The sequence below is a fragment of the Homo sapiens genome, chromosome 2, assembly GCF_000001405.40.
Source record: "Homo sapiens chromosome 2, GRCh38.p14 Primary Assembly".
In the NCBI taxonomy this organism is placed as follows: Eukaryota; Metazoa; Chordata; class Mammalia; order Primates; family Hominidae; genus Homo; species Homo sapiens.
In genome coordinates, this window is record NC_000002.12 from 85,901,586 (window position 1) to 85,926,496 (window position 24,911).

At 47.0% G+C, this 24,911-nt stretch overlaps 1 long non-coding RNA gene across 1 annotated transcript, besides 1 other annotated feature; it reads right to left on the minus strand.

The window, feature by feature from the left end:
- Positions 1-3,036: 3,036 nt before the first annotated feature.
- On the minus strand, positions 3,037-3,906 carry LOC124906030 (uncharacterized). Its single transcript, XR_007087119.1, has 3 exons — positions 3,718-3,906; positions 3,400-3,537; positions 3,037-3,108 (listed from the first exon to the last, which is right to left on the minus strand). It is a non-coding gene; the product is annotated as an uncharacterized LOC124906030 (long non-coding RNA).
- Positions 23,141-23,190: an enhancer, noted in NCBI's record as "active region_16147". NCBI's record gives its function as "activates an Ori minimal core promoter by ATAC-STARR-seq in GM12878 lymphoblastoid cells {active_cell/tissue: GM12878}" and the evidence as "EXISTENCE:reporter gene assay evidence [ECO:0000049][PMID:35858748]".

Genomic DNA, 24,911 nt, shown 5'->3' on the forward strand with positions numbered 1-24,911 from the left:
ACAACTATTACAATAAATGTGTCAGCCTACCACCTGTGTGAGATAGTTTCCACTGACTCCTCCTTCTGATCCACTTCCCATCCTGCTCTGTCTCAGAAGCTGCCCTCCACAGGCTAACCTCAACTGGTTCTCTTGTCTTCTGGCTTCGGGGTGTATTCAGCCAAGAGGCACTGGAGGATAGTTAGAGGTTGGGATATTTATCACCCTGACCTCCACCCTACCCTGCCCCAGTTGGCAGTAGCTGCATTCTCTAACAAAGGCCATGGGTCTCATCAGGCAGCCCCTCTCTCATGGCTGTAGAAAGAGTTTCAACCTTTTGCTCCTTCAGGTCCAAGAGTGACAATGCTTCCAGCTGTTGCAAGTCCCCCGAGTTTCCCCACCTCTTCTTGGCTCCCTTAACTATGCCCACCCCTTTATAAATAGTCCCTTCATTAAGCCCTCCTCACCTACCCCCTTTCATGAGGCCATCTGTCTCCTGCTAGGGGGATGCAGTATCAAACCCCACCAGTGGTAGGCACACATTTTTCACACCCATATAGGTGCCAGCTGAGACCCAGGAGGGAATTCCTTATCCAACATCCCCCAGCCTGTGAGTGCCAGAGCTAGGAACAGTATCCCTGGTTGGATGTGTTTCTCCCCATACATACTGCTTCTCAAGGGAGAAATTGGTCAGTTCTGTTAACAATGCCCAAGTGTTCATATTGTAATGTCCTCTTATGAATCTCTCACTCTTACACTTTCTTCCCCATCCTAATCCATGTTCTGCTGGGCCCCAGATGTAAATGGGATTGTGGCCAGCTCACCTCTTTCCTCCCCTTCCCCAGGACTCCCGGATGTCATGCATCAGCCCTATGAGAGTCTTGCCTCTTCTTCAACACACCTGTGTTTCACCGCTGTCCTTTGATCAGGAGTCCTGTCTGGCAAAGGTGCAAAGCCCCCTACATCTCTTCCTCTCAAAACCTGCTGCCCAACTTTCCCTCTCTTTCCAGAAATAATAATTCCCTCCCTGTCCTCCCACAACTCTACTTAGCACTGGCTTGAATGGTGACAAGTAGTGTATGTGTTTCCCTGACTACACTGTGACTGCTTCTATGATCACACTGAATTCCTCTTTGTATCATCAGCATCCCCCACCAAGTCTGACTCAAATAGGCCCTTCATAGGGCTACGTTGAGCAAGCTGCATTCATTAGGCCATTAAGAACATTAAAGCACAAAAGACGTTCTAATGGGTGACAGATGAATGCTCATCCTGGTAATTTTTTTTTTTTTTGAGACAATGTTTTGCTCTGTCCCCCAGGCTGCAGGGCAGTGGCGTGATCTCAGCTCACTGCAACCTCCACCTTCCGGGTTCAAGCGATTCTCATGCCTCGGCCTCCCGAGTAGCTGGGACCACAGGTGTGTGCCACCATGCCCAGCTAATTTTGTGTGTGTATGCGTTTTTTTTTTTTTTTTGAGATAAGAGTCTCGCTCTGTCGCCCAGGCCAGAGTGCAGTGGTGTGATCTCAGCTCACTGCAATCTCTGCCTCCCTGGTTCAAGTGATTCTCCTACCTCAACCTCCTGAGTAGCTGAGATTACAGGCAGCTGCCACTACACCTGGCTAATTTTTGTATTTTTAGTGGAGACGGGGTTTCACCACGTTGGCCAGGCTGGTCTCGAACTCCAGACCTCAGGTGATCTGCCCACCTTGGCCTCCCAAAGTGCTGGGATTACAGGCGTGAGCTGCCGCATCCAACCTCCTCCCAGTAATTTTTTTAACAGTGATTTATTTTAACATTGTATACTAGAGACGTGATCTGAGTTGGGGGTAGGACAGGGGGTGGCCTTGCTCAGTCTCTTGTTCTTCCCAGAGAGGTCTGAGGGAAAGGGGTGAGGCGTGGTCACCCAGACTCATTCTGGGTCCTGGGTTTTCCAGCTGAGGTTCTTAGATGGGCAGCCTTGGATCTGTGCATCTCTGGTCATGGTGTACAAACTGCTAAGTGCGTGTGCACTGTGCGTGGGGGGTGAGCCAGGAAAGCTCTGAATTCCCAAAGGAGTCCAGCTTCAGAGAACACTTTAGCCTTCCTCCTAGAGATAAAAGAAGTCTTGTTGGTGTCCCCTCCTGAGGTTGGGGCCAGAGTTCCCACAACTTATAAATTGTTCCATCCCCTGGCGTTTTCCTCTGTGCGTGGATCTCCCCTACCCCACGGACCTTGAACAAGGGTGGCTTTGGCCTCAAGTGGCAGCCCATCTGGGCTCTAGGTGTTTGAATGCAGAGTTATGGCTGTTTCTTTATCTCTTTCATAGTTCCTGTAAACATCTGTCCAGGGCCTGAGCTCAGAAGGCAGAATCCGTCGTGGAGCGTGTCCAACTCCTACCCCAAGAGCAGCCTCCATGTTTACCCACGGACTGGGCTCACACACAGGCAGGCAGCTCCGAGCTCTGAGCACCTCAGCATCCTTGGACTCTGAGCTAGCGTGGTCACATGTCGGGGGGACAGAGTTCCCCAGCCCTTACCCTGCAGTCTTGCTTCTGATAGGGAAACCTTGAGCTCGTAGTGACTGTGGGGCTGGCTCTCCAGGACAAGCCCCTCCAGTGGAGCCAGGAACCAGGATGGAAGGTTGGGTTTGGGGGTGGACTGATGGCCTGGAGTTCACTGCCACCTATTTTCTTTTCCTCTTTTTCCATCTCACCCAGAGCTGTGGGAAGAGGCCTTGACAACAGGTGAGATTTGGGGCACCTGACTGTGACTTCAACCCAGCAGGTGGGGTTGGCCCAAAGCAGTTCCCCAGCTTGTCCTCTCAGGTCCTCTGGACACCCTTCCCCACCACACATAACCCTGGACCTTCACAGCTCCCACACCACCATCCACACCTAGGAAAGGACATCGGACTGGAGGTCAGGGGCCTAGGATTCAAGTCCCAGCTCTGCCGACAGCTACCAGTGTATTCTTGGGCAAGTCACTGAACCTCTGTGGGTCCTGATTCCCTTACCTGTAAGAGAGTGATAATCATAAGGCCCTCTGCATTGCTCTAAGGATCAAGATAATGCTTGTGAAAGTCTTCACTGTACTCTAAAGTGTGATTAATATATATTCTTTATCCTGGAATCTCCTATCTCCTTTGAGTCCTGTTAAATAAACCATGATGTGAATGGTTAGTAATGAAGTGTTTGCCCCCTTTCTAGACAGTTATTTGTACTTGTAACCATAACTTTCAATGCCTTTATTCAGCGATAAGAGTACGGAATTAATTCCAAGTTCAGACCGGGTGTAGCAGCTCACATCTGTAATCCCAGCACTTTGTGAGGTCAAGATGGGAAGATCGCTCAAGTTTAGGAGTTTGAGACCAGCCTGAGCAACATAGGAAGACACTGTCTCTACAAGCAAACAAACAAACAGACAAAAAAACAATAAATTACCTGGGCATGGTGGCACATGCCTGTAGTCCCAGTTGCTCAGGAGGCTGAGGCATAAGGATCACTTGAGCCCAGAAGGTTGAGGCTGCAGTGAGCTGTGATCACACCATTACACTCCGACCTGGGTGACAGAGCGAGCCCCTGTCTCAAAAAGAAAAAAGAAAAAGCAAAAAAGAAAAAATTTCAAGTTTACAGGCAGGCTGGGGAGGAGGAGCAACTTCCTATTCAGTGGTGCTGCTTCCTTCGCTGGGCAATTTGCTGGCATTGCCCTCTGTCATCCTAAGGCGATGGACCTTGTTGCTATGTAAGGGAAGTCCTTACCCAGAAGGCTGAGAGGAACAGAATTTCCAAGGACAAAACACTTGCCAAGAAGCCCAGCTTCACAAATTTCCTCTATTTGTCAACCCCTTGGTACATAGTTGCTGCTTTGATGAGGCTGATTTCAGCTGAAATACCACAGCAGTGGGAAAAGGATATAATTCTTTCCTTGCATTCCAGTGTGAGGCTGATGTAGGCAAAGAAACCTGCCAAAGCATTTAGAGACGCATGAAGTCCCCTGTTGTGTTTAAGGTCTTTTTCTCCACTTGGACAGGTTGGCAGCCACTTTCCTTCTCTCTTGCTCAATCCTTCCTCCTGCATTCCATCGGAGTTCTTGTTTCCCATCCAAAGAGCTCAATTCCTTTCTGAGCAATTCCTGTTTTCTAGTCTTCCATCTCTTCCTATTGTACAGACACCAGTTCATCAGAAAGAGTTTCCCAGTTAATTTTGATGTAGCCCAGCGTCACCTCTTACAGTGTCTGGCTCAGAAATTAATTCTTCCTTAAGTCTAACTCAATCCCCCATGTTCCTCCCCTGTTTCTAAACTCTCAGCAGGCTCCCCATTATCTCCTGAACTAAATTCTGTCTCCTAAGCCCAGCCTTAGAGGTCTTCCTCCTTCTGGTCTCCAGGGCTAGATGCACTGTCTCCCCTGGCTGATGCAGCCTCATGCCGGGGTGTGTGGCCTTGGAAAGGGGAATTTGACTTGTACCTACTCACCCCCAGGGTCCTTTATCAGGCACCTGTTGGTCCCAGCCAGCCTCTTCAACCTCATTTCCTATTTTTCCTTCTACCCTTGCCTGGTGGCTGGCCCAGTGCCCTACTCACCATGTCTCTGAATGGCATCACACAATCCTGTCTCTGCACCCTCCCTCCCTCCCTCCCTCCCTCCCTCCCTCCCTCCTTCCCTCCCTTCCTCCCTCCCTTCCTTCCTTCCTTCTTTCCTTCTTCCCTTCCCTTCCCTTCCCTTCCTTCCCTTCCTTCTTTCCTTCTTTCTTTTTCTTTCTTTCCCTTCCTTCCTTCCTTCCTTCCATCCTCCCTCCCTCTTTCCTTTCCTTTCCCTTCTTTCTTTCTTTCTTTCCTTCCTTTCTTCCTTCCTCCTTCCTTCCTTCCTTCCCTTTCTTTTTGAGAGGGAGTCTCGCTCTGTCATCCAGGCTGGAGTGCAGTGGCATGATCTCGGCTCACTCGAACCTCCGCCTCCCAGGCTCAAGGGATTCTCCTGCCTCCACCTCCCGAGTAGCTGGGATTACAGGCGCACACCACTACACCCAGGTAATTTTTGTATTTTTAGTAGAGATGGGGTTTCACCGTGTTGGCCGAGCTGGTCTTGAACTCCTGACCTCAGATGATCCGCCCGCCTCGGCCTCCCAAAGTGCTGGGATTACAGGCGTAAGCCACCGTGCCCAGCCTCTGCACATTTCTTATATGATTCCTTCCACCCCAAATTCTGTAAGTCCTCTTAAAATTCCCTAAGGCCCACCATGGGTGACACTTCCTTATTAATTAAGCATGTGTGGATGGTACCAGGTCAGACTGTAGGGGGTCTGGACTTGCTGCTTCCCACAGAACCCAAGCAGCAGTGTCTTTAGGTTTTTCCTCTTGTGCTGTTCAGACTCCCCAGAGAGGAGTCCTCCAGGGACCTGCCTGGAAGGTGGGGTGAGGCTGCCAGCACGCTGTGGCCCCTGTGCAGTGAGAAAGGCTGGGAGTCCCTGAGTTTAGCAGTCAGTGACATCTGTCCTCCATCTCTGTTTTCCATTCCACACCCCACACTTCACCAATCTTGGGCTCCAGTCCGGAGACCTGCCTCTATCACCCTTTCCAGAGAGTAAAGCTCCAGACGCCCACTGAGGGGAGAGAAGGGAAGGTGACCAGTGGAATGGAGTTGAGGAGGGCATTAAGGAGCCTTAGAAAGACCTAGAAAGACCCCCATAGATTGCTCACCAAGTGTAAATATGGCTTACTAAGTAATTGACATGCGCTAACTGGAACTACTTCACACACAGCTCTCCTCCTAGTCCCTTCCATGTTAACAAGCCGTGAACCGCCTGCCACGTCCCCACGTTCCTGGGACTTCCAAGTCTGTCTTTTCTTTTCGTTTTTTTTCTTTTTTTGTTGGGGTGGGGGACAGAGTTTTGCTCTTGTTACCTTGGCTGGTTGCAATGATCTCGGCTCACTTCAACCTCTGTCTTCCCGGCTCAAGCAATTCTTCTGCCTCAGCCTCCCAAGTAGCTGGGATTATAGGCACCCACTACCACACCTGGCTATTTTTTTTGTATTTTTAGTACAGGTGGGGTTTCACCATGTTGGCCAGGCTGGTCTCGAACTCCTGACCTCAGGTGATCCACCCGTCTCAGCCTCCCAAAGTGCTGGGATTACAGGTTTGAGCCACGGCACCCAGCCCCAAGTCTGTGGTTTGAGGAGGCTGTGGTGTCAAACAGTGGTTCTGGCCTTCCGCAATTCAAGCTCGAGACTTGGCTTTCAGTCAAATATTCCTCATTTGTTTGCTTTCCTGTTTCCAAAATGTTATTGTTGTTATCTCCCCATAAAATCCTTTAACATAAAACATCACTGTAAGCCATGGTAGTGGACTCACGGAGGTTTACATAGAGAGTTGTCCACCTGCACGTCCCACGACAGCCAAATCCCCAGGCCTCCCCCATGCAAGGCCACACCCAGAGCCATGTGCAGATGGGAAGACAGGCCCCCGTAGGTTCAGGGCATACTTGGTCTTATGTGGGCTTGTTCTCAAAGCAGTGAATCAGCAGTGTAAAGATGGGGGCGGAAGGGCAGATGCAGCTCACCCTTGTGTCTCATGTGGGCACGCCCAAAGTTCAGCAGTCTTGGCAGTTTGGATGGAGGAGAAGAGCTGCAGGCCCTCCACCGTTTCTACCCCCAGGCATCAGCATCCTGAACCCACTGACACGCTCATACACGACATTAATCTGCCCTTCTAGAAACCATGCCTGTTCTTCTAGAAACCAGAACCATGTGTGGGTTCTGATGCCTGAACTTGTGTCTGAGCCAGCCCAAGTTCTTGCCAATCTCTTCTTTTCTGCACCTGGGTGACAAGGTTTCACAGTTTTCCATTTATGTACCTTTCTGGGCTTCCCATGCACAGGTCTTGTCATAACCTGCCACACATCAAGGTTCTGGAAAGTGGAAAATGTGCAGGGGTTTCACCCTCAAACTCAAAACTGCCTCTAGGTAAGCAAGGCTGGGCCCCTTGGAGGTCTCCCACCCTTCAGAAGGCTTAGGGCCTAGACAGGGTCACCACTAGCCTTTGAGCAAATTAGAAAAAAGCGCTTATTGGAATTTGCATAATCAATATACAAAGCTCTAATGACTATAAGGAGAATGTATCCTCTTTGATGTGGTGTCCTTGTGCAGTGCACCACCTGGGCAACTGTACACAGTGGCCTTGAGTCCAAAGTCACAGCAGGCCAAGTGGCCTCTTTTGGTCTTTCTTCTTAGCTCACAGTCAATATTACCTTTATCTTTCCATCCTGTTGCTTAGGAGAGGCCTGGTGGAAAAAGAGTCATAACAGGCAGTGAGAAGCAAGAATGTTGTTTCAGTTATAATAAAACTGAAATCTATAGCTAGACACCCAATATATGTCTATTTTATTATTTTTAAACTAATAGACTTCGGTTTTGGGATCAGTGTTAGGTTTGTAGAAAAATTGAGCAGAAAATACACAGAGCTCCCACATACTCCCTCACCACCACCAAGTTGCCCGTTATTAACATAGTATAGTACATTAGTTACAACTGATGAGCCAATCTTGATATAATGATATTGTTAATTGAAGTCCATGGTTTACATTAGCATTCACTGTTAGCATTGCACATTCCATAGGTTCTGACACATGTATGATGACATGGATCCACCACTGTAGTATCATACAGAGTAGTTTCACTGCCCTAACAATCCCCTGCCCCACCCTCCCTTGCCTGGAACTCCTCACTACATTATTTTTTTAATCCTACATTCCCTGCTCCTTAATCAACACTGACGATTCAGACCCCAACTCCATTCCCTTCCTCTGTGGGATAGAGTAGGAGAGGGAGGGGTGGAGAGGGGCTGGGAGCTCCCCTTGGACGCCAACCCTCCTCAGCCTTTTGTTCTTTTCTCTGCTCACCCAATTTTCCTCTAGGAAGGAGATCAGCTGCACAAATCAAGAAATGCTAAAACTACTGCTTTCTTCCCCTTCCTCCTCCTCGGGCAGCCACATCAGATCAGAAGTGAGAGTTGTAGGCACTCACTTAAGAAAAGCATCCAAGGCCAGGCGGTGGCTCGCACTTGTAATCCTAGCACCTTGGCAGGCCCAGGCACAAGGATCGCCAGAGCCCAGGAGTTTGAGACCAGCCTGGGTAACACAGTGAGACCCCATCTCTATAAAAAATAAACAAAATTAGCTGGGCACGATGGTGCACGCCTGTAGCCCCAGCTATTCTGGAGGCTGAGGTGGGAGGATTGCTTAAGCCTGGGAGGTAGAGGCTGCAGTGGGTCAAGATCATGCCACTGTACTCCAGCCTGGGTGAGAGAGTGAGACTATCTCAAATAATAAAAATACAATAACGGCCGGGCTCGGTGGCTCACGTCTGTAATCCCAGCACTTTGGGAGGCCAAGGCGGGTGGATCATGAGGTCAGGAGTTTGAGACCAAACTGGCCAACATGGTGAAACCCTGTCTCTACTAAAAATACAAAAATTAGCTGTGCATGTCTCTAATCCCAGCTACTCGGGAGGCTGAGGCAGGAGAATTGCTTGAACCTGGGAGGTGGAGGTTGCAGTGAGCCGAGATTGTGCCACTGTACTCCAGCCTGGGCAATAAGAGCGAGATTCCATCTCAAAATAAATAAATAAATAAATAAAAATAAAATAAAACAAAAAGAAAAGCATCCAATGAAGACATAAGTCTTTTAATCTTGTGACATATTAAAACATTTATAAATACACATTTTACTATTTTATCTGAATATTGGTAGAAAGCATCTGCTGCATTGTATTGGCAAAGGACACTGGTTGAAAATAGGGTTTGGAGGCCAGACGTGGTTGCTCACGCCTGTAATCCCAGCATTTTGGGAGGCTGAGGCAGATAGATCACGAGGTCAGGAGATCGAGACCATCCTGGCTAACACGGTGAAGCCCAGTCTCTACTAAAAATACAAAAAATTAGCCGGGTGTGGTGGCATGCGCCTGTAGTCCCAGCTACTCAGGAGGCTGAGGCAGGAGAATCTCTTGAACCCAGGAGGTGGAGGTTGCAGTGAGCGGAGATCAATCCACTGCACTCCAGCCTGGGCGACCGAGAGAGACTCTGTCTCAAAAAAAAAAAAAAAAAAAAAAAAAATAGGGTTTGGGAATCCTGTTTTGCCTTGTGTAATCCTGAGAAAGAGTTTCCAGTAACAGTCAAACCATGTTCCTGCCAAAAAACAACTCTCAGTTGTCCTGTTTGTGATGCAAAGACAAAACCATGTGGGCAAAATGATAATCAAATATTTAGGAACTTAAAGGGCGTTGGTGACTGTTAGTAGGATGCACTGAGTTATGCTGCAGTAACAACCCCCAAAGGTCAGTGTCTGAAAACATTGATTTCTTGGTCACATTACATGCTCCTCCTGCATTTGCAGGGGTAATGGAGGTGAACAGCTGAAGTGTTCTGCCAACTACTATTAATCAGAAGGATGTTGGCCATGAAGCTAGCCTTCGATTAGATTGTGAAGAGGTCTGGAGAGGGACGTGGGCAGGGCTGGCTTTATGGGCATTAATATATATATTTTTAAATGTAGTCTCACTATGTTGCCCAGGCTGAAGTGCGGTGGCTCTGTGTGATCATAGTGCACTACAGCCTCGAACTCTTGGGCTCAAGCAATCCTCCTGCCTCAGTGTTTGGAATAGCTGAGACTATAGGCATATGCCACCATGCCCAGCCTAATCATTTTTGAACAAGAGCTCTGCATTTTCATTTTGCACTGCACTCTGCAAATGACTATATATAGCCATCGTGGTCCCAGGGGAGGGGCCAGGAAAGCCAGAATGATAGGCGGGCACTCTGGGAGAGGGGAGCAGCAATGATTTACCAACGATCTGAAAGTGTTTCAAATCATTTAACAATTGGTCTGATAACCAGTACGTATGAGCTGAATATCAGCTCTCTACATGGGTGGGTTGACATGATAGTCCCTGGAAGAGGCCCACATTCATTAAGACAATCATTTGGGGTAAATGTGATTTTTTGTTTCTTTTTTTTGAGACAGAGTCCCGCTCTGTCGCCCAGGCTGGAGTGCAGTGGCACCATCTCGGCTCACTGCAAGCTTCACCTCCTGGGTTCACACCATTCTCCTGCCTCAGCCTCCCAAGTAGCTGGGACCACAGGCGCCGACCACCACGCCCAGCTAATTTTTTGTATTTTTAGTAGAAATGGGTTTTCACCGTGTTAGCCAGGATGGTCTCGATCTCCTGACCTCGTGATCCACCCACCTCGGCCTCCCAAAGTGCTGGGATTACAGGCGTGAGCCACCGTGCCCGGCCTTTTTTTTGAGACAGGGTCTTGCTCTGTTGCCCAGAGTGGACTGCAGTGGGCTGAAGTGATCCTCACACCTCAGCCTCCCAAGTAACTGGGCATACATCACCATGCTCTTTTTTTTTCTGTAGCTATCTGCTTAGGAACAAAAGGAAAGGCAGTTTCTTGAATGAGTCAGCTTTCAGCTTAATTTTTTCCTTTAGGCATAGTGAATTGGAGTCCCAGGTTTTTATTCTTTTCATGAGAGCAAACTTTTGTTTGCAAACAGCATTATCATTTTCATTACTCTGCGGTTGTTCTCTTTAAAAAAAGAGAAAAAAGAAAAAAATCCCTTAGCCCAGGATTAGCAAGTATCCAACATGCATACTCCTGCTTTCCCCTTCTTATCCTCTTCTTAGCAAGGGCTGTCATGACTGGTTAACCATATTACTCCCTCCAGCTGGTCCTGGATGTAGCCACAGAAGCCTCTACACAACACTCCAATCAGTCGCTAAGAACATAGCAGGCTGGGACCAAGGAAAACCCCCGCCTTCTCAGTGCCAGCCTTTAGTCAGATCCTGAAGTGTTTCTGCCTTGTGACAGCCGTGCTACAGATATTGTTGTGTCATAGTTTGTCTGGTCTTTGTTTTTGGATTCATGGGACAGAGTTTCTAAACCCTTGGAATTTTCTGAGTGGTAGAAGAATATTTGTTATCCGTGGTGAGCCCCTGGGATTACTCCTGAGTTTATGCTAACAAGGTGACTAATGGCGGGCCCATGGAGGCTGGCCAGGCTGGAAAGACCAACTACATATGTGATTAGAGGGTTGGAATTTGAGCCTAGAGGGGTAGGAAGCTGGAGATCAAGTTTGATCATGTGGCCGAGTCACTCAATCATGCCTATGTAATGAAACCCCAATAAAAACTCTAGATACTGGCTGGGCACGGTGGTTCATGCCTGTAATCCCAGCACTTTGGGAGGCTGAGGCGGGCGGATCACCTGAGGTCAGGAGTTTGAGACCAGCCTGGCCAACATGGTGAAACCCTGTCTCTACTAAAAATACAAAAATTAGCCGGGCATGGTGGTGCATGCCTGTAATCCCAGCTACTTGGGAGGCTGAGACAGGAGAATCGCTTGAACCCAGGAGGCAGAGGTTGCAGTGAGCTGAGATCACACCACTGCATTCCAGCTTTGGCGACAGAGCAATACTTTGTCTCAAAAAAGAAAAACAAAAAACAAACAAACAAAACTCTAGATACTAAGGCTCAGGCAAACCTCCTGGCTGGTGAATACATCGATATGCTGGGAGGGTGATGTGCCCTGGTTTCATGTGGGGAGGACACAGAAGCTCCATGTTTGGGACCTTCCTAGACCTCGCCCTATAAGTCTTTTCATTTGACTGGTTCTGATTTTTACACTTTATAATACAACTGAAATCATAAGTATAGTGCTTTCCTGAGTTCTGCGAGTCATTCTAGCAAATTATCAAACATGAGGGGATAGTAGGAACCCCTGAATTTATAGCCAGTTGATTAAAACTGCAAGTGGCCTGGGGACCCCATACTGTGACTGACATCTGAAGTGAGGGCAGTTTTGTTGAGGACTGTGTCCTTTTTTTTTTTTTTTTTTTTGAGATGGAGTCTTGCTCTGCCGCCCAGGCTGGAGTGCAGTGGCACGATCTCAGCTCACTGCAAGCTCCGCCTCCCAGGTTCACACCATTCTCCTGCCTCAGCCTCCTAATTAGCTGGGACTACAGGCACCCGCCACCACACCTGGCTAATTTTTTGTATTTTTAGTAGAGACGGGGTTTCACCATGTTAGCCAGGATGGTCTTGATCTCCTGACCTCGTGATCCACCTGCCTCGGCCTCCCAAAGTGCTGGGATTACGGGCGTGAGCCACTGTGCCCAGCCGAGGACTGTGTCCTTAACTTGTGGAGTCTGGTCCACTATGGATAGCTAGTGTCAGAATTGCATTGCAATATTGTAGATATCAAAGGCAAGGAGAAAGCCACACTTCCCTGTGGCTGCCATGGTAGCAAGAATGCTGGAGATGAAGATGTCTCCAGGGACAAAGAAAACCTTTGGGGACCTCACTTGCCCCTTTAACCCAGACATTATCCCACCACTGCCAATCTCAGGGGAGCTAGGCTTTAGTAATAAAGTGTACTAAGTTTCCCCATGCCTCAGTAGGTATAAATGAGGTCATAGTTATGACCTTATTTCTCAAGTTCTTCCCTACATCAGCCCTACAAAGTTCCTGTGCCCCATGAGAATTTCTGGGAGTGACTCATATGTACTCATGAACAAGTGTAGCCAGCTCTTTCTGAGGCCTACTGGATGGACACTGCTGCTTCTACTGGATAATACTGCATTGGTTATATTCTGTGTGCCCCTTGTTTTAGTCAATTTTGTGCTGTTATAACATAATACCACAGACTGGATAATTTATAATGAACAGAAATTTATTTCTCACAATTCAGGAAGCTGGAAAGTCCAAGATCAGGGAGTCAGCATCTGGTGAAGGCCTTCTTGCTGTGTCATCCCATGGTGGAACATGGAAGGGTAAGAGAGCACACGCAAGAGACAGCAAGAGCCAAAGGGGGCCACACTCATTTTTCCATTAGGAGCTCACTCCCAACTCCACGATAATGAACCCACTCCCACAATCATAGCATTAATCCATTCATGTGGGTGAAGCCCTCATGACCTATTCACCTCTCAAAGGTCCCACCTCTTAACACTGTTTCACTGGGGATTAAGTTTCCAACATATGAACTTTGGAGAACATATTTAAGCCATAGTATCCCTCCAGACCCTCCTCTCCACCCTCCTCTGCCATGCTTGGTGTCCTGAAATGCTGACCTTTATGAATTGCATCATCCAGTCTACTTTGCCCTAGCTTCTGGTCAGGTTCAGCCAACGAAAGGCACTGGAGGCAGGGGCTAGAGGAGAATGAGATCAGAGTATTTATATCCTGCTCTCTCCCTGCAATGAATTGGTATTCCCATAACAAATTGGTATTCCCATAACAAAGGCTGCAACTCTTATCAAGTGGCCGATATTCTAAACACACCTGCCCTTGCCCCCCTCAGATCCAGGAGAGGTAAAGGCTTCCTGCTGTTGCTAGCTCTGTCATGCTTCACCACCCCTTAACCTTGCCCACATCCCTGCAAGCGGTCCTTCACTACATGCTCCTGAGACACCCAGTTTGAGATGCTGTTTACTTCCTGATGGAACCTTGACCACACAGACATCATTGCTATTTCCATCCTAGCACACGTCCTCAGGCCACTGCACCTCCCCCAGGCATCATCAATAATTCTTCATGTCCTCTTGAAGCACATGTGACATGGCATTCCTGCTGCACAGCCACCTGTGGCAACAAGGAAGGGAGCAGCTCTCCCTGCTCAGCATCACTCTGTTAGAGGATTCTAAGGGGATGAACTGCTTGTGCTCCAATGTCTTCTAGGGTTTTTAGTGAAATGGCTCCTTCTGTTTTACCTTCATGAGGCTGGAGGAGGAGTCCTGAGTGGGGAGGTGCTGAGTTGGAAGGAGCCAAGAGCCATGCTCTAGCAGAGAGGGCACTGCCTTGGGTACAGGTGCTGGGCCTGGGAGCTGACTCTGCCACTAAAAGGCCATGAGACCATGGACAAGTCACTCTCATTTTCAGGCCTCCATTTCCTCACCTGTATCACGGGGGCCGGACTCAGCGATTCTCAAGCTGCTCTGGGCCCCCAGCCTTACTTCTGCCATAGCAGCTCCTGTTTGGTCTATTTTAGAATGTGAGCTTTTGTGAAAATTTCCTTTAAGGAATGGGTTCCACTGCTTTAAAAACACTTGGAAACAACTGGACTAGAAGATCTAAGGTCCCTTCCAGCCCCTACATTTTTGAGCATAAAACCAATCTTGTTTTTTTCACCATTGTGCCAAGGAAGCACTGGTTCCAAGAATTAATGGAAAATAGATGATTAAAGGCCCATCTCCTGCCAGGCTCGCTGCCATGGCAAATCTACCATGACTGGGTAAAAGGTTTTGCTTCACATCCATCCTCAGCACCTTCTCACTTCCTTCTCACTTGCTTCTGCCACTATTCCTAAGCAAGCTAAAGAAAGGGAAATTTTAAATCCATTGCATAAAATGCAAACCAGCCTAGTAAACAAAAATGTGGAAAAGATGGCAAGGGATAAATCATGTGCCTTTTCAGCCTTTATAAACAGACCTTGGGAGCTTTACAAAGGCTTGACTTATGGCAATGGAAGCTGGCAGCCCTCCGTAGTTCATTCCAGATGTTTGGTGCTAGAGAGAATTACAGGGCAGTGGTTAATAGTTTGGGCTCTGCGGTCAGAAAGATATGAGTTCAATTCCTTGTGCTTCCATTCACTAACTGGGTGATCTTGGTTAGATGTGCTGGACTGTAAAATCATCATCATCACCATATCTATTTTATTGAGTTATCATGAGGACTGGGAGTGAGTTAATACATGTACAATGTTTAGCACAGTGCCTAGCACATAGAAAATACCCAATAAATTAGCTCTTTGATGTTATTGTTGTTAGAATTACTACTCCCATTGGCTTCCAGGAAGCTCAGAGATCAGAGCTCAGTTGAATATTCAACTAAAAAAATCCTCCGGCTGGGCATGGTGGTTCATGCCTGTAATCCCAGCATTTTGGGAGGCCAAGGCAGGCAGATCACCTGAGGTTGGGAGATTGAGACCATCCTAGCTAACACGGTGAAACCCTGTCTCTACTAAAAATACAAAAAATTAGCTGGGTGTGGTGGCACATGCCTACAATCCCAGCTACTTGGGAGGCTGAGGCAGGAGAATTGGTTAAACCCAGGAGGCGGAGGTTGCGGTAAGCTGAGATCGCGCCACTGCACTCCAGCCTGGGCAACAAGAGTGAAACTCCATCTCAAATAAATCAATAATAAAAAAAAAAAACTTCTAGGTACCATTTGCTTCCTTTCCATGTCCATTTATGGCATCTTTTAAGATAGTTGTTATTTATCGAGTGCTTATTTTTGCCAGGACTTACAGGCACTACCCTACACCTAGCACAGTGCTTAGGGTATTGGAAATAACTCAATAAATTGTGGCAGAATAAATGAATGATCTTATCCAATGCTCCCAGCAACTCTAAGAAGTAGATATCATTATCTCAATTATAGTAGACTTTTTTTGTTATTATTGTTGACATCTGAGACTACTTCCTGATTGTGGGGAATCTGCCCTTGTGTGAGGGTCTCATCTTGGATGCTGAGAAAGTGAAAAACTCCCCTGGACCTCTGGTAGCAGGAACACAGATATACAAACCAAGTACAGCTAATCAGATCCTCACCTGGGACTTTTTTTAAATTTTAGTTTTTATTTATTTATTTATTTTGAGACGGAATCTCGCTCTGTCACCCAGGCTGGAGTGCAGTGGTGCGATCTCGGCTCACTGCAAGCTCTGCCTCCTGGGTTCACGCCATTCTCCCGCCTCAGCCTCCTGAGTAACTGGGACTACAGGTGGCCGCCACCACCCCCGGCTAATTTTTTGTATTTTTAGTAAGACAGGGTTTCACCGTGTTAGCCAGGTTGGTCTCAATCTCCTGACCTCATTATCTGCCCACCTCAGCCTCCCAAAGTGCTGGTATTACAGGCTTGAGCCACCACGCCCGGCCACCTGGGACTTTGAAATCTAGACTGGGCTGGGCATGGTGGCTCACATGTTTAATTTCAGTACTTTGGGAGGCCGAGGTGGGTGGATCATTTGAGGTCAGGAGTTCGAGACCAGCCTGGCCAATGTGGTGAAACCCTGTCTTTACTAAAAATACAAAAAAATTAGCTGGGTGTGGTGACGCGTGCCTGTAATATCAGCTACTCAGGAGGCTGAGACAGGAGAATCGCTTGAACCCAGGAGGCGGAGGTTGCAGTGAGCCAAGATCACACCATTACACTCCAGCCTGGGCAACAAAAGTGAAACTCCATCTTCAGATGGATAAATAAATAAATAAATAAATAAATAAATCTAGACTGAACAAAGTAATTGGAATTCCTTCTGCGGTTGATGGCAAAGCATTGGTGGCACTGGGGCCAGTAGAGTAGTGTCCCAGGCCAAGTAGTGACCACAATACCAGCAAAGGGCCCAGTGTTCATCTACCTACAATCCATTTTGGAAGGAGGTAAGGTCTTGTAAATAACATCATATGGCATTAATTTGGCAAGAGTTTCTACATCTTGCCAGCCCATTACTTTACCAACATTCCTTTTCCTTCTGTAGTTTGTGAGTTCCCTTGAAACTTAATCAACCTCAAACTCTCTCAAGTGACTCCCCTCTCAGGATGTTTGGCTTCCATCCCCTCAGCAGCCCTTGTTGCCTCTAAGAAGATAAAGCAAAACTTGTGCTGCATCTCTTCCTCCCATTCTTTTCCTACCCATTTTATGCACAAACCATGCCAATGCCAGGCAGTTGGCTGTCTTCTGTTGAAAACAAAAACCTTAGAGTGAGTCTTGTTGCCACATATGTGTGTGCTTGGGTTGAGGGCTGATTCATAAATCTTCCTTAAGAAAAAAAGGCCTCTGGGCAAGCTGGCAAAGGCTGGCTTTCATTTATTTGTTTTTTGTCACCTCCTTGATATCTCCTGCCTTGCTCCAGAAATGTGTTAGACCTCATGGGGAACACTGACAAACGCACATACAAAATAAGGAAAAGAATGATGAATTTCAAATTAGGATACCCGGGTTGGAATGCTGGCTTGGTCACTATCTGCAAAAACTTGGGTAGGTTACCTAACCTTTCCTAAGCTTCAGTTTCCTTATCTGTAAAATGGGCTCAGCTATACTCATATTCCATGGACTGTGGGGAAGTTTCAGTAGGAACGCATCTAAAAGCATCCATCAAAGTGGCTGGTTCAAAGAACCCTCCCATAAATGTGTGTTGCTGTCAATTGAAATTCCCCCAGATGGTAAGGTCCTACACCTCCAGCTACTGGGGATAGGGACATGTGAGAGTTGGGGTACATGGCAACATGGGAAAACCTATTTGCAATTGTGTTATGTTGGTTTAGATCAGTCAAATATCTTTTTCTATTTCTTGGCAAGAATGCTTGTCAAATAGAGCACGCAGGGACCCTGAGCAACCAGGACTGTTGGCATGACAAGCGGGCGAGCAGAGGATGGGGGAGCCAGAAGAGAAGGTGCTGAAAGGAAGAGCTGAAAACAAGCTTGACCCATCACTCAAAGTTGTCTAATAGTCCTTGAATCCAGATGCCTCATGGCCCTAGGAGGGCCAAACACACTCGGGGGTTGGAAAGGAAGCATCACAGTGCTGGTGTCAGGATACCTGAGTTCCAGCCTTGTCTTTGACATTTATGAGGTGTATAAACTGGGAGGGTCACTTCAGCTCTCTGAGCCTTAGTTTTGTGTACTGTAAAGTGGGAGAAATAATACATCCCTCACAAAGGCATAAATAGGCCAGGTGCGGTGGCTCACGCCTGTAATCCCAGCACTTTGGGAGGCCAAAGCGGGTGGATAACCTGAGGTCAGGAGCTCGAGACCAGCCTGGCCAACATGGTGAAACCCCATCTCTACTAAAAATACAAAACCCCCATCTCTACTAAAAATACAAAAATTATCCAAGTGTGGTGACAGGCACCTGTAATCCCAGCTACTTGGGAGGCTGACTACTCAGGAGAATTGCTTGAACCTGGGAGGCGGAGGTTGCAGTGAGCCGAGATCATGCCACTGTACTCCAGCCTGGGTGACAGAGTAAGACTCCATCTCAAAACAAACAAACAAACAAAAACAAGACAAAGGCATAAACAATAAACAAGAGATTGATTTTTTTGGTAACAGCTTTATTGCAATATAATTCAAGTACCATAAAATTCACCACCCCCGCTTTTTTTCGAAACAGGGTCTCACTCTGCTGTCACCCAGGCTGGAGTGCAGTGGCATGATCACTGCTCACTTCAGCCTCGACCTCCTAGGTTCAAGCGATCCGCCCACCTTTGTCTCCCAAGTAGCTAGGACTATAGGTGCACACCACCACACCCAGCTAATTATAAAATTTTGTTGTGGAGACGGGCTCTCATCACGTTGCCCACGCTGATCACGAACCCCTGAGCTCAAACAATCTTCCTGCCTCGGCCTTCCAAAGTGCTGGGATTATAGACATGAGCCACCACACTGGGCCAAAATTCACCCTTTTAAAGTATGCAGTTCTGTTTTTTAGTGTATTCACAGAGTTGTGCAACCATCACCACTATTTCATAGTAGAACATTTTTATAACTCCTAATGGAACCAATACTGTTATCAATCACTCTCTATCCTCCCTCCTGAGAGATCGACTTTAAACTATTTGGTGCTGTACCCATTTTGCTTTGTATAGATAACAGTTGATCATTGCTACACAATAGTCAGTAGTCTGCTCATAAGTAATATCACAATTATTCTTCAGACTTAGTAAGAGCTGGCTTGAGAACTGTGTCAGGAGTAAGTTCGGCAGGGGAATGGTAGAGATGAAGAGGCTTAAAGAACAGTTTGTTTCTCTCTCATAGAATAATCCAGGTAGCTCCAGGTAGCTCACAGCTCCATCTTCCCTAGGGCACGAGCAACTTTCTCAGGATACAAAATGTCAGCTAGAGCTCCAGCTGTTATATCCTTGTTCCAGACAGCAGGATGAAGACAGAGATGAAGATTGCATGCCATTGGCTTTTAAGGAAAGGTCTCAGAAGTTGCCACAAACACTTCTACTAACTTTTTTTTTTTTTGAGATGGGGTCTTACCCTGTCACCTAGGCTGGAGTGCAGTGGCACGATCTTGGCTCACTGTAACCTTCGCCTCCTGGGGTCAAGCAATTCTCCTGCCTCAACCTCCCGAGTGTCTGGGATTATAGGCGCCCGCCACTACACCTGGCTAACTTTTTTTGTATTTTTAGTACAGATGGGGTTTCACCACGTTGGCCAGGCTGGTTTCAAACTCCTGACCTCAAATGATCCGCCTGCCTAAGCTTCCCAAAGTGTTAGGATTACAGGCGTGAGCCACCATGCCCAACCACTTCTACTAACATCTAATTGACCAGAACTCACTAGTATGATCATATCTAGCTGTAAGAAAGGCTGGGAAATTTAGCCTTATTCCAAAGAGCCAGTTAAAAATTGGGGTTTGCATTATTATGAAAGAAAAGACCAGGTATTTGGTAGATGTATCAGTCAGCAAATGCTATAATAATTCTGCATAACAAACCATGAGCATACAACAATGAGCTTTTGTTTTCCTTGCCCTCAGGGCTGTGGGTTGGCTGGGAGGCTCTGCATCAGGCTACAGGGCTGCCGGGCTTGGTGGAGGTATACTGCACTCACACTAATGGAGGGCACTGCAAAATCACATAACAAAGGGTATGAGTGTAAAATTCTAACACCAGAAGCGTCTGCAGAATGATAAACAATGATTCATTTATACAGAGGACAACCAAGATTGCCAGGAAATTCAATGTCTGCAGTCTTGGTCCCCGGAGACCTCCCAGGAACCTGCTGCTGCTGCTGTCCTACAATTCAGCTCCCAGTGTAGCTTCCAGTTCTGATGATCCCACTTCCCCGGTTACAGATTAAGCTAGTCCAGCCTCTCACATGAGCTTTTTAGGCCACAGTCCCTAGTTTCAGCCTAACCAGACACCTGCAGCCTTTTCTCTAAGGTTTTGCCAAGACAAACAGAGTAGTTCAGGATGCCTCTAAGGGAGAAGGAAAGTGGGAAAAATCATTTGGGAAAAATTCAGAGTGCAGAAGCAGCCTGCCTGAAAAGTTGCTGGAACAGACAAAAATAAAACAACCTGGGGAAAATAAAACAAAACAAAACTCAGGCTGGACCTGGACAGATAAACAAACAGGATCCCGCACAGGAGTTCTTTATTCTTTGTCTAATTAGCAAGCTCCCAGGAAAAAATTTTCTCCCTTTTTCAGTCAGATACATGGTGAGAACTTGCACACGGAGGAGGGGGGATTACCTAAAACAAACTCACAGTATACAAACAAGAGAAGCTGTGCTTTGTGCTTACCTAAAAACATACCCACAGCTGCATGAGATAAGGGGCGTCGCACAGACAGCCTTACTGATAAGAGAAGTTACTCAAACTGCTACAGAGATGAGAGGGGTTTCTCAGCTGTAACCTGGCAATCCACTCTGACTCCTCTCTCTGCTGCAGAGAGCTTTATTTCTTTCACTTATTAAACTTTCCCTCCAACACCATGTTTGTGTCTGCGTTCCTAATTTTCTTGGACATAGGACAAAGGACCTGGGGTACCAGTTAAGACAAAGAGAAACTGCTACATTAAGGTGGGTTGGTGAGACTGCAACACCTCTATGTAGGGCCAGAAGCCATTTTCCTCTGCCCCACTTCCCCGGGGGCCAGCCAGAGTCAGACCCATTTTTCCCGTTCAAATTCCCCAAACACAAAAGCTTCATCATGCCATTTTCTATTACAATTGGGCTTGAAGGTACATCTACAAGAGAGTGAAAGCCCAGGCAACTTGTCCCTTGAGTTACAAAGAATTCCGTTTATCTTTCCTGGGGTAAGACTAAGTCTACAGCAGTAAAAATTCAGCACTCAGATTGGTTTTCAAAGGCTGACCTTTCCATTATTTACATTCTTAATGAATCATCCTGCTTAATTGTAATCAGTGGAGCTTAAGGCAAATTTCCAAAAGGTTTGGTCAAACTTTTGGTGTAAATAATCTCAGTGTATCTATTTCAACTTTACTTAGTCCGCTTCCATTAGTAACATGAAGAAGCATTTTCTTGGGTACAACCCAAAGTTAGCACCAATTATGAAATCTATTGGTTAGTTCAGCAAATTAAACAGTTACTTTTGTTGTTGTTTTTTGAGACAGGGTTTTGTTCTGTAGCCCAGGCTAGAGAGCAGTGGTGCCATCTCAGCTCACTGCAACCTCTGCCTCCTGAGCTCAAGTGATCTTCCCACCTCAGCCTTCCTAGTAGCAGGGACCATAGGCACCTGCCACCATGCCCCGCTAATTTTTTTTTTTATTTATTTTTTGTAGAGATGGGGTTTCTCCATGTTGCCCAGGCTGGTCTCAAACTCCTGGCCTCAAGTGATTCACCCGCTTCAGCCTCCTAAAGTGTTGGGATTACAAGCATAAGCCACTGCACCCAGCCAAAATGGTTACTTTCAGTAACAGCTGTGGCCACCCCCTCCTCATGGAGGTTTTTTTGTTTGTTTGTTTGAGACGGAGTCTCACTCTGTCCCCAGGCTGGAGTGCAGTGGCACAATCCCAGCTCACTGAAACCTCTGCCTTCTGGGTTCAAGTGATTCTCCTGCCTCAGCCTCCCGAGTAGCTGGGACTACGGGTGCCTGCCACCACTCCCGGCTAATTTTTTGTATTTTTAGTAGAGATGGGATTTCACCATGTTGGCCAGGATGGTCTCGATCTCTTGACCTCGTGATCCGCCTGCCTTGGCCTCCCAAAGTGCTGGGATTACAGGCGAGAGCCACCACTCCCGGCTTTTTTTTTTTTTAAATACAGTTAAACATACATGTATCTTGTGACCCAGAAATTCCACCTCTAGGTATTTTTACCTTAGACAAATGAAACCTATGTCCATCCACCCTACACAAAAACTGGTACCTAAATGTTCACAGCAACTTTATTCTTAGTAGCCAGAAACTGGAAAAATCCAAATGTAACATCCAACAACAGATAAATGGATACACAAATTGTGGAATATGCATGCAATGGAAAAGTATTCCACAATAAAAGGAAGGGACTGCTAATATACACAACAATGTAGATGAATCTCACAGATATTATGCTGCATGAAGGAAGCCAGACATAGGAGACTGTATACTGTATGATCCCATTTATATGACATTCAACAAAAGGCAAAACCAATCTATGGTGATAGAAATCAGAACAATTGGGGTTGACTGGAAAAGGGCAAGAGGGAACTTTCTAAGTGATGAAATGCTTTCTATCTTAATTGGGGTAATGGCTACATGGTGAATGCATTTGCCAGTAATCATCAAACTCTGTAGGTTAGATCTGAGCATTTCACTGTGTATAAATTATACCTCATTTTTAAAACTTTTTTTTTTAAGTTGGGCTATTTCCTCAAATGTTCCAACAACAAACTGAGGAGATCCATGTCCCAAGTGTTAATGGGGCACTGGTGACTTTAGTGGTGGAGAGGTGGTTTGTCATATGTGGTCAGCAGCCAGCTGGCAACATTTTCATTTTGTGTTGTCAGTTAATCATTTGTGAAAGAATTTTCTGAAAATGGCCGGGTGTGGTGGCTCACACCTGTAATCCCAGCACTTTGGGAGGCCGAGGCAAGCTGATCACGAGGTCAAGAGATCGAAACCATCCAGGCCAACATGGTGAAACCCCGTCTCTACTAAAAATACAAAAATTAGCTGGGCGTGGTGGCGTGTGCCTGTAGTCCCAGCTACTCAGGAGGCTGAGGCAGGAGAATTGCTTGAACCTGGAAGGCGGAGGTTGCAGTGAGCCAAGATTGCGCCACCGCACTCCAGCCTGGGCGACACAGCAAGACTCTGTCTCAAAAAAAAAAGAAAAAAAAAAAAAAAGAAGGTTCCACAGGGTTGGAGGAGACCATGGGTCTCCTGTTAGCTGGGGAGGTGGAAAGAGCTCTGGACTGATAATCAGGAAGCCTGGGGGAGACTTTGCCCTTCCAATAACCTGATCAATAAATCAGTCTGGGGCTCTGCTAACACTCAACCACCAGAAAGAAACAGTGGTGTGACCCTGGGCAATGTATTTGTCACCTGTCCTCCATCCTGGGCCTCGGGGCCTCAGGGCTCCTGGAACAGGATGTTCTTGATGACTCTCCCTGACCCAAATCCTTTATAATCTCCAGGATGTCATCCCTGCCAAGAAGAGCAAAAATCTCTCTTGTGCTGAAGGCCTTGCTTTGTTTGATGTGGCCTGAGAGGCCATGAGTTTTCCCTCACATGCTCGATTGGGCAAGCTGTTTCTGGCACAGAGCTATACCAAAAACAAAAACAAAACAGAAACGGTGCAGAAGTTGCAAAGGAAACTGGGGAGCCCTTTCTCCCTTTTTTGCTAAATTTTCTGTCTTTAGAACATGCTTTCTGCCCGCCCAGCAGAGGGAAGACACTCTCCCGATCAGGCGAGGTGATCACTGGGGCTCTCTCTTCCTCCTCTATGTTTCTGTCCTGCTGGCTGCTGGTGGTCCCAGCCAGGTCTCCTGTTCACTCTGCCCACTTGGATGACCACATACAACGAACTTCCAGGAGTTGGCTAAGGGATGGTCCCCTCCATTCTTTTCTCTCTCTGTCACCATCTCCTCAGTCTCATCCAGAACACTTGCCTCAGTACCTTCATAATACACACCACACATACATGCACACACATAGGCACATGCACACAACCACAACCACATCTACACACCATATCCATGGCATACAGCACAAATACACACCAAACCACCCCTCACACCGCACATACACTTACAGACCACATACAAATACCCATCACATACATGCAGATGCTAACCATGCATAATGGCACACCAAACACAAGCTCTCTCTCTCTCTCTCTCACACACACAGACACACACAGACACACACAAAGCTATTGTTTGGTGCAGGAGCTACATCAGTACCAGCTTCTGTCCTTCCCTATCCTGGAGTGCTTCTCAAACCCCAGGTCCCAGAGAAATGTCACAGAGGCTTATTGTCTCCCTATCTCAACCATGAATAACTGGCTAATATGCATCAGTGATGCTGCTTTGGGCAACCAGCAGAAGAGATGTCCTTCCAAGCTCTCAGCCCACTCCACTCTGCACAATCCTGCCAGTGACCGTGGTTGCTGATCACTTCAGGGAAGTCATTGGTGGAATAAACAATGCACACAAGTAGGACACACAACAGTTGTGTTACTGGTTGTTAAAATATTGAAATACTTCTGTACCAGTTAATGAACACCTGCTGTCCCCAACCCCCTGAAGGTCCTATCCTCTGTTGCTTTGGCCTCTCTTCCAGGCCTTGCTAGGATTCACCAAATAAAGTGTTAACGTGTCTCATACAAGATGTACAATACAAGGTGGAGACAGGGCGGGGTGGACTAACGGTGAAAGAGGCGGTGTTGAGCAGTCATTCATTAATTCCTCCTCCAACAAGTATGTGTGGGGCTTCCATGTGCAGACACTGCTGACCACTCAGGATTCAGTTGCAGAAAGTCAGAAGGCAGTTAGAGTACAGAATGATTAATTCTGCAACGGGGAAGTGTACACCAGCTGCAGGAGCAGAGAGCGGGGGCACTAACTCAGACTTGGAGGGCTCCAAAAATGCTTCCCACAAGGCAAGTGGTCAAGCTGACATTTAAACAAGTCAAAGTTGTTCAAGTAAAGAAGGATGGGGATGCGATGATCATAATCCCAGCACTGTGGGAGGCAGAGGTGGCATATCACCTGAGGTCAGGAGTTCGAGACCAGCCTGGCCAACACAGAGAAACCCTGTCTCTACTAAAAATACAAAATTAGCCAGGCGTGGTGGTACATGCTTGTAATTCTAGCTACTTGAGAGGCTGAGGCAGCGATTCTTCACTTACACCTGGGAGGCGGAGGTTGCAGTGAGCCGAGATTTCGCCATTGCACTCCGGCCTGGGCAACAAGAGTGAAACTGCATCTCAAACTAAAAAAAAAAAAAAAAAAAAAAGAAG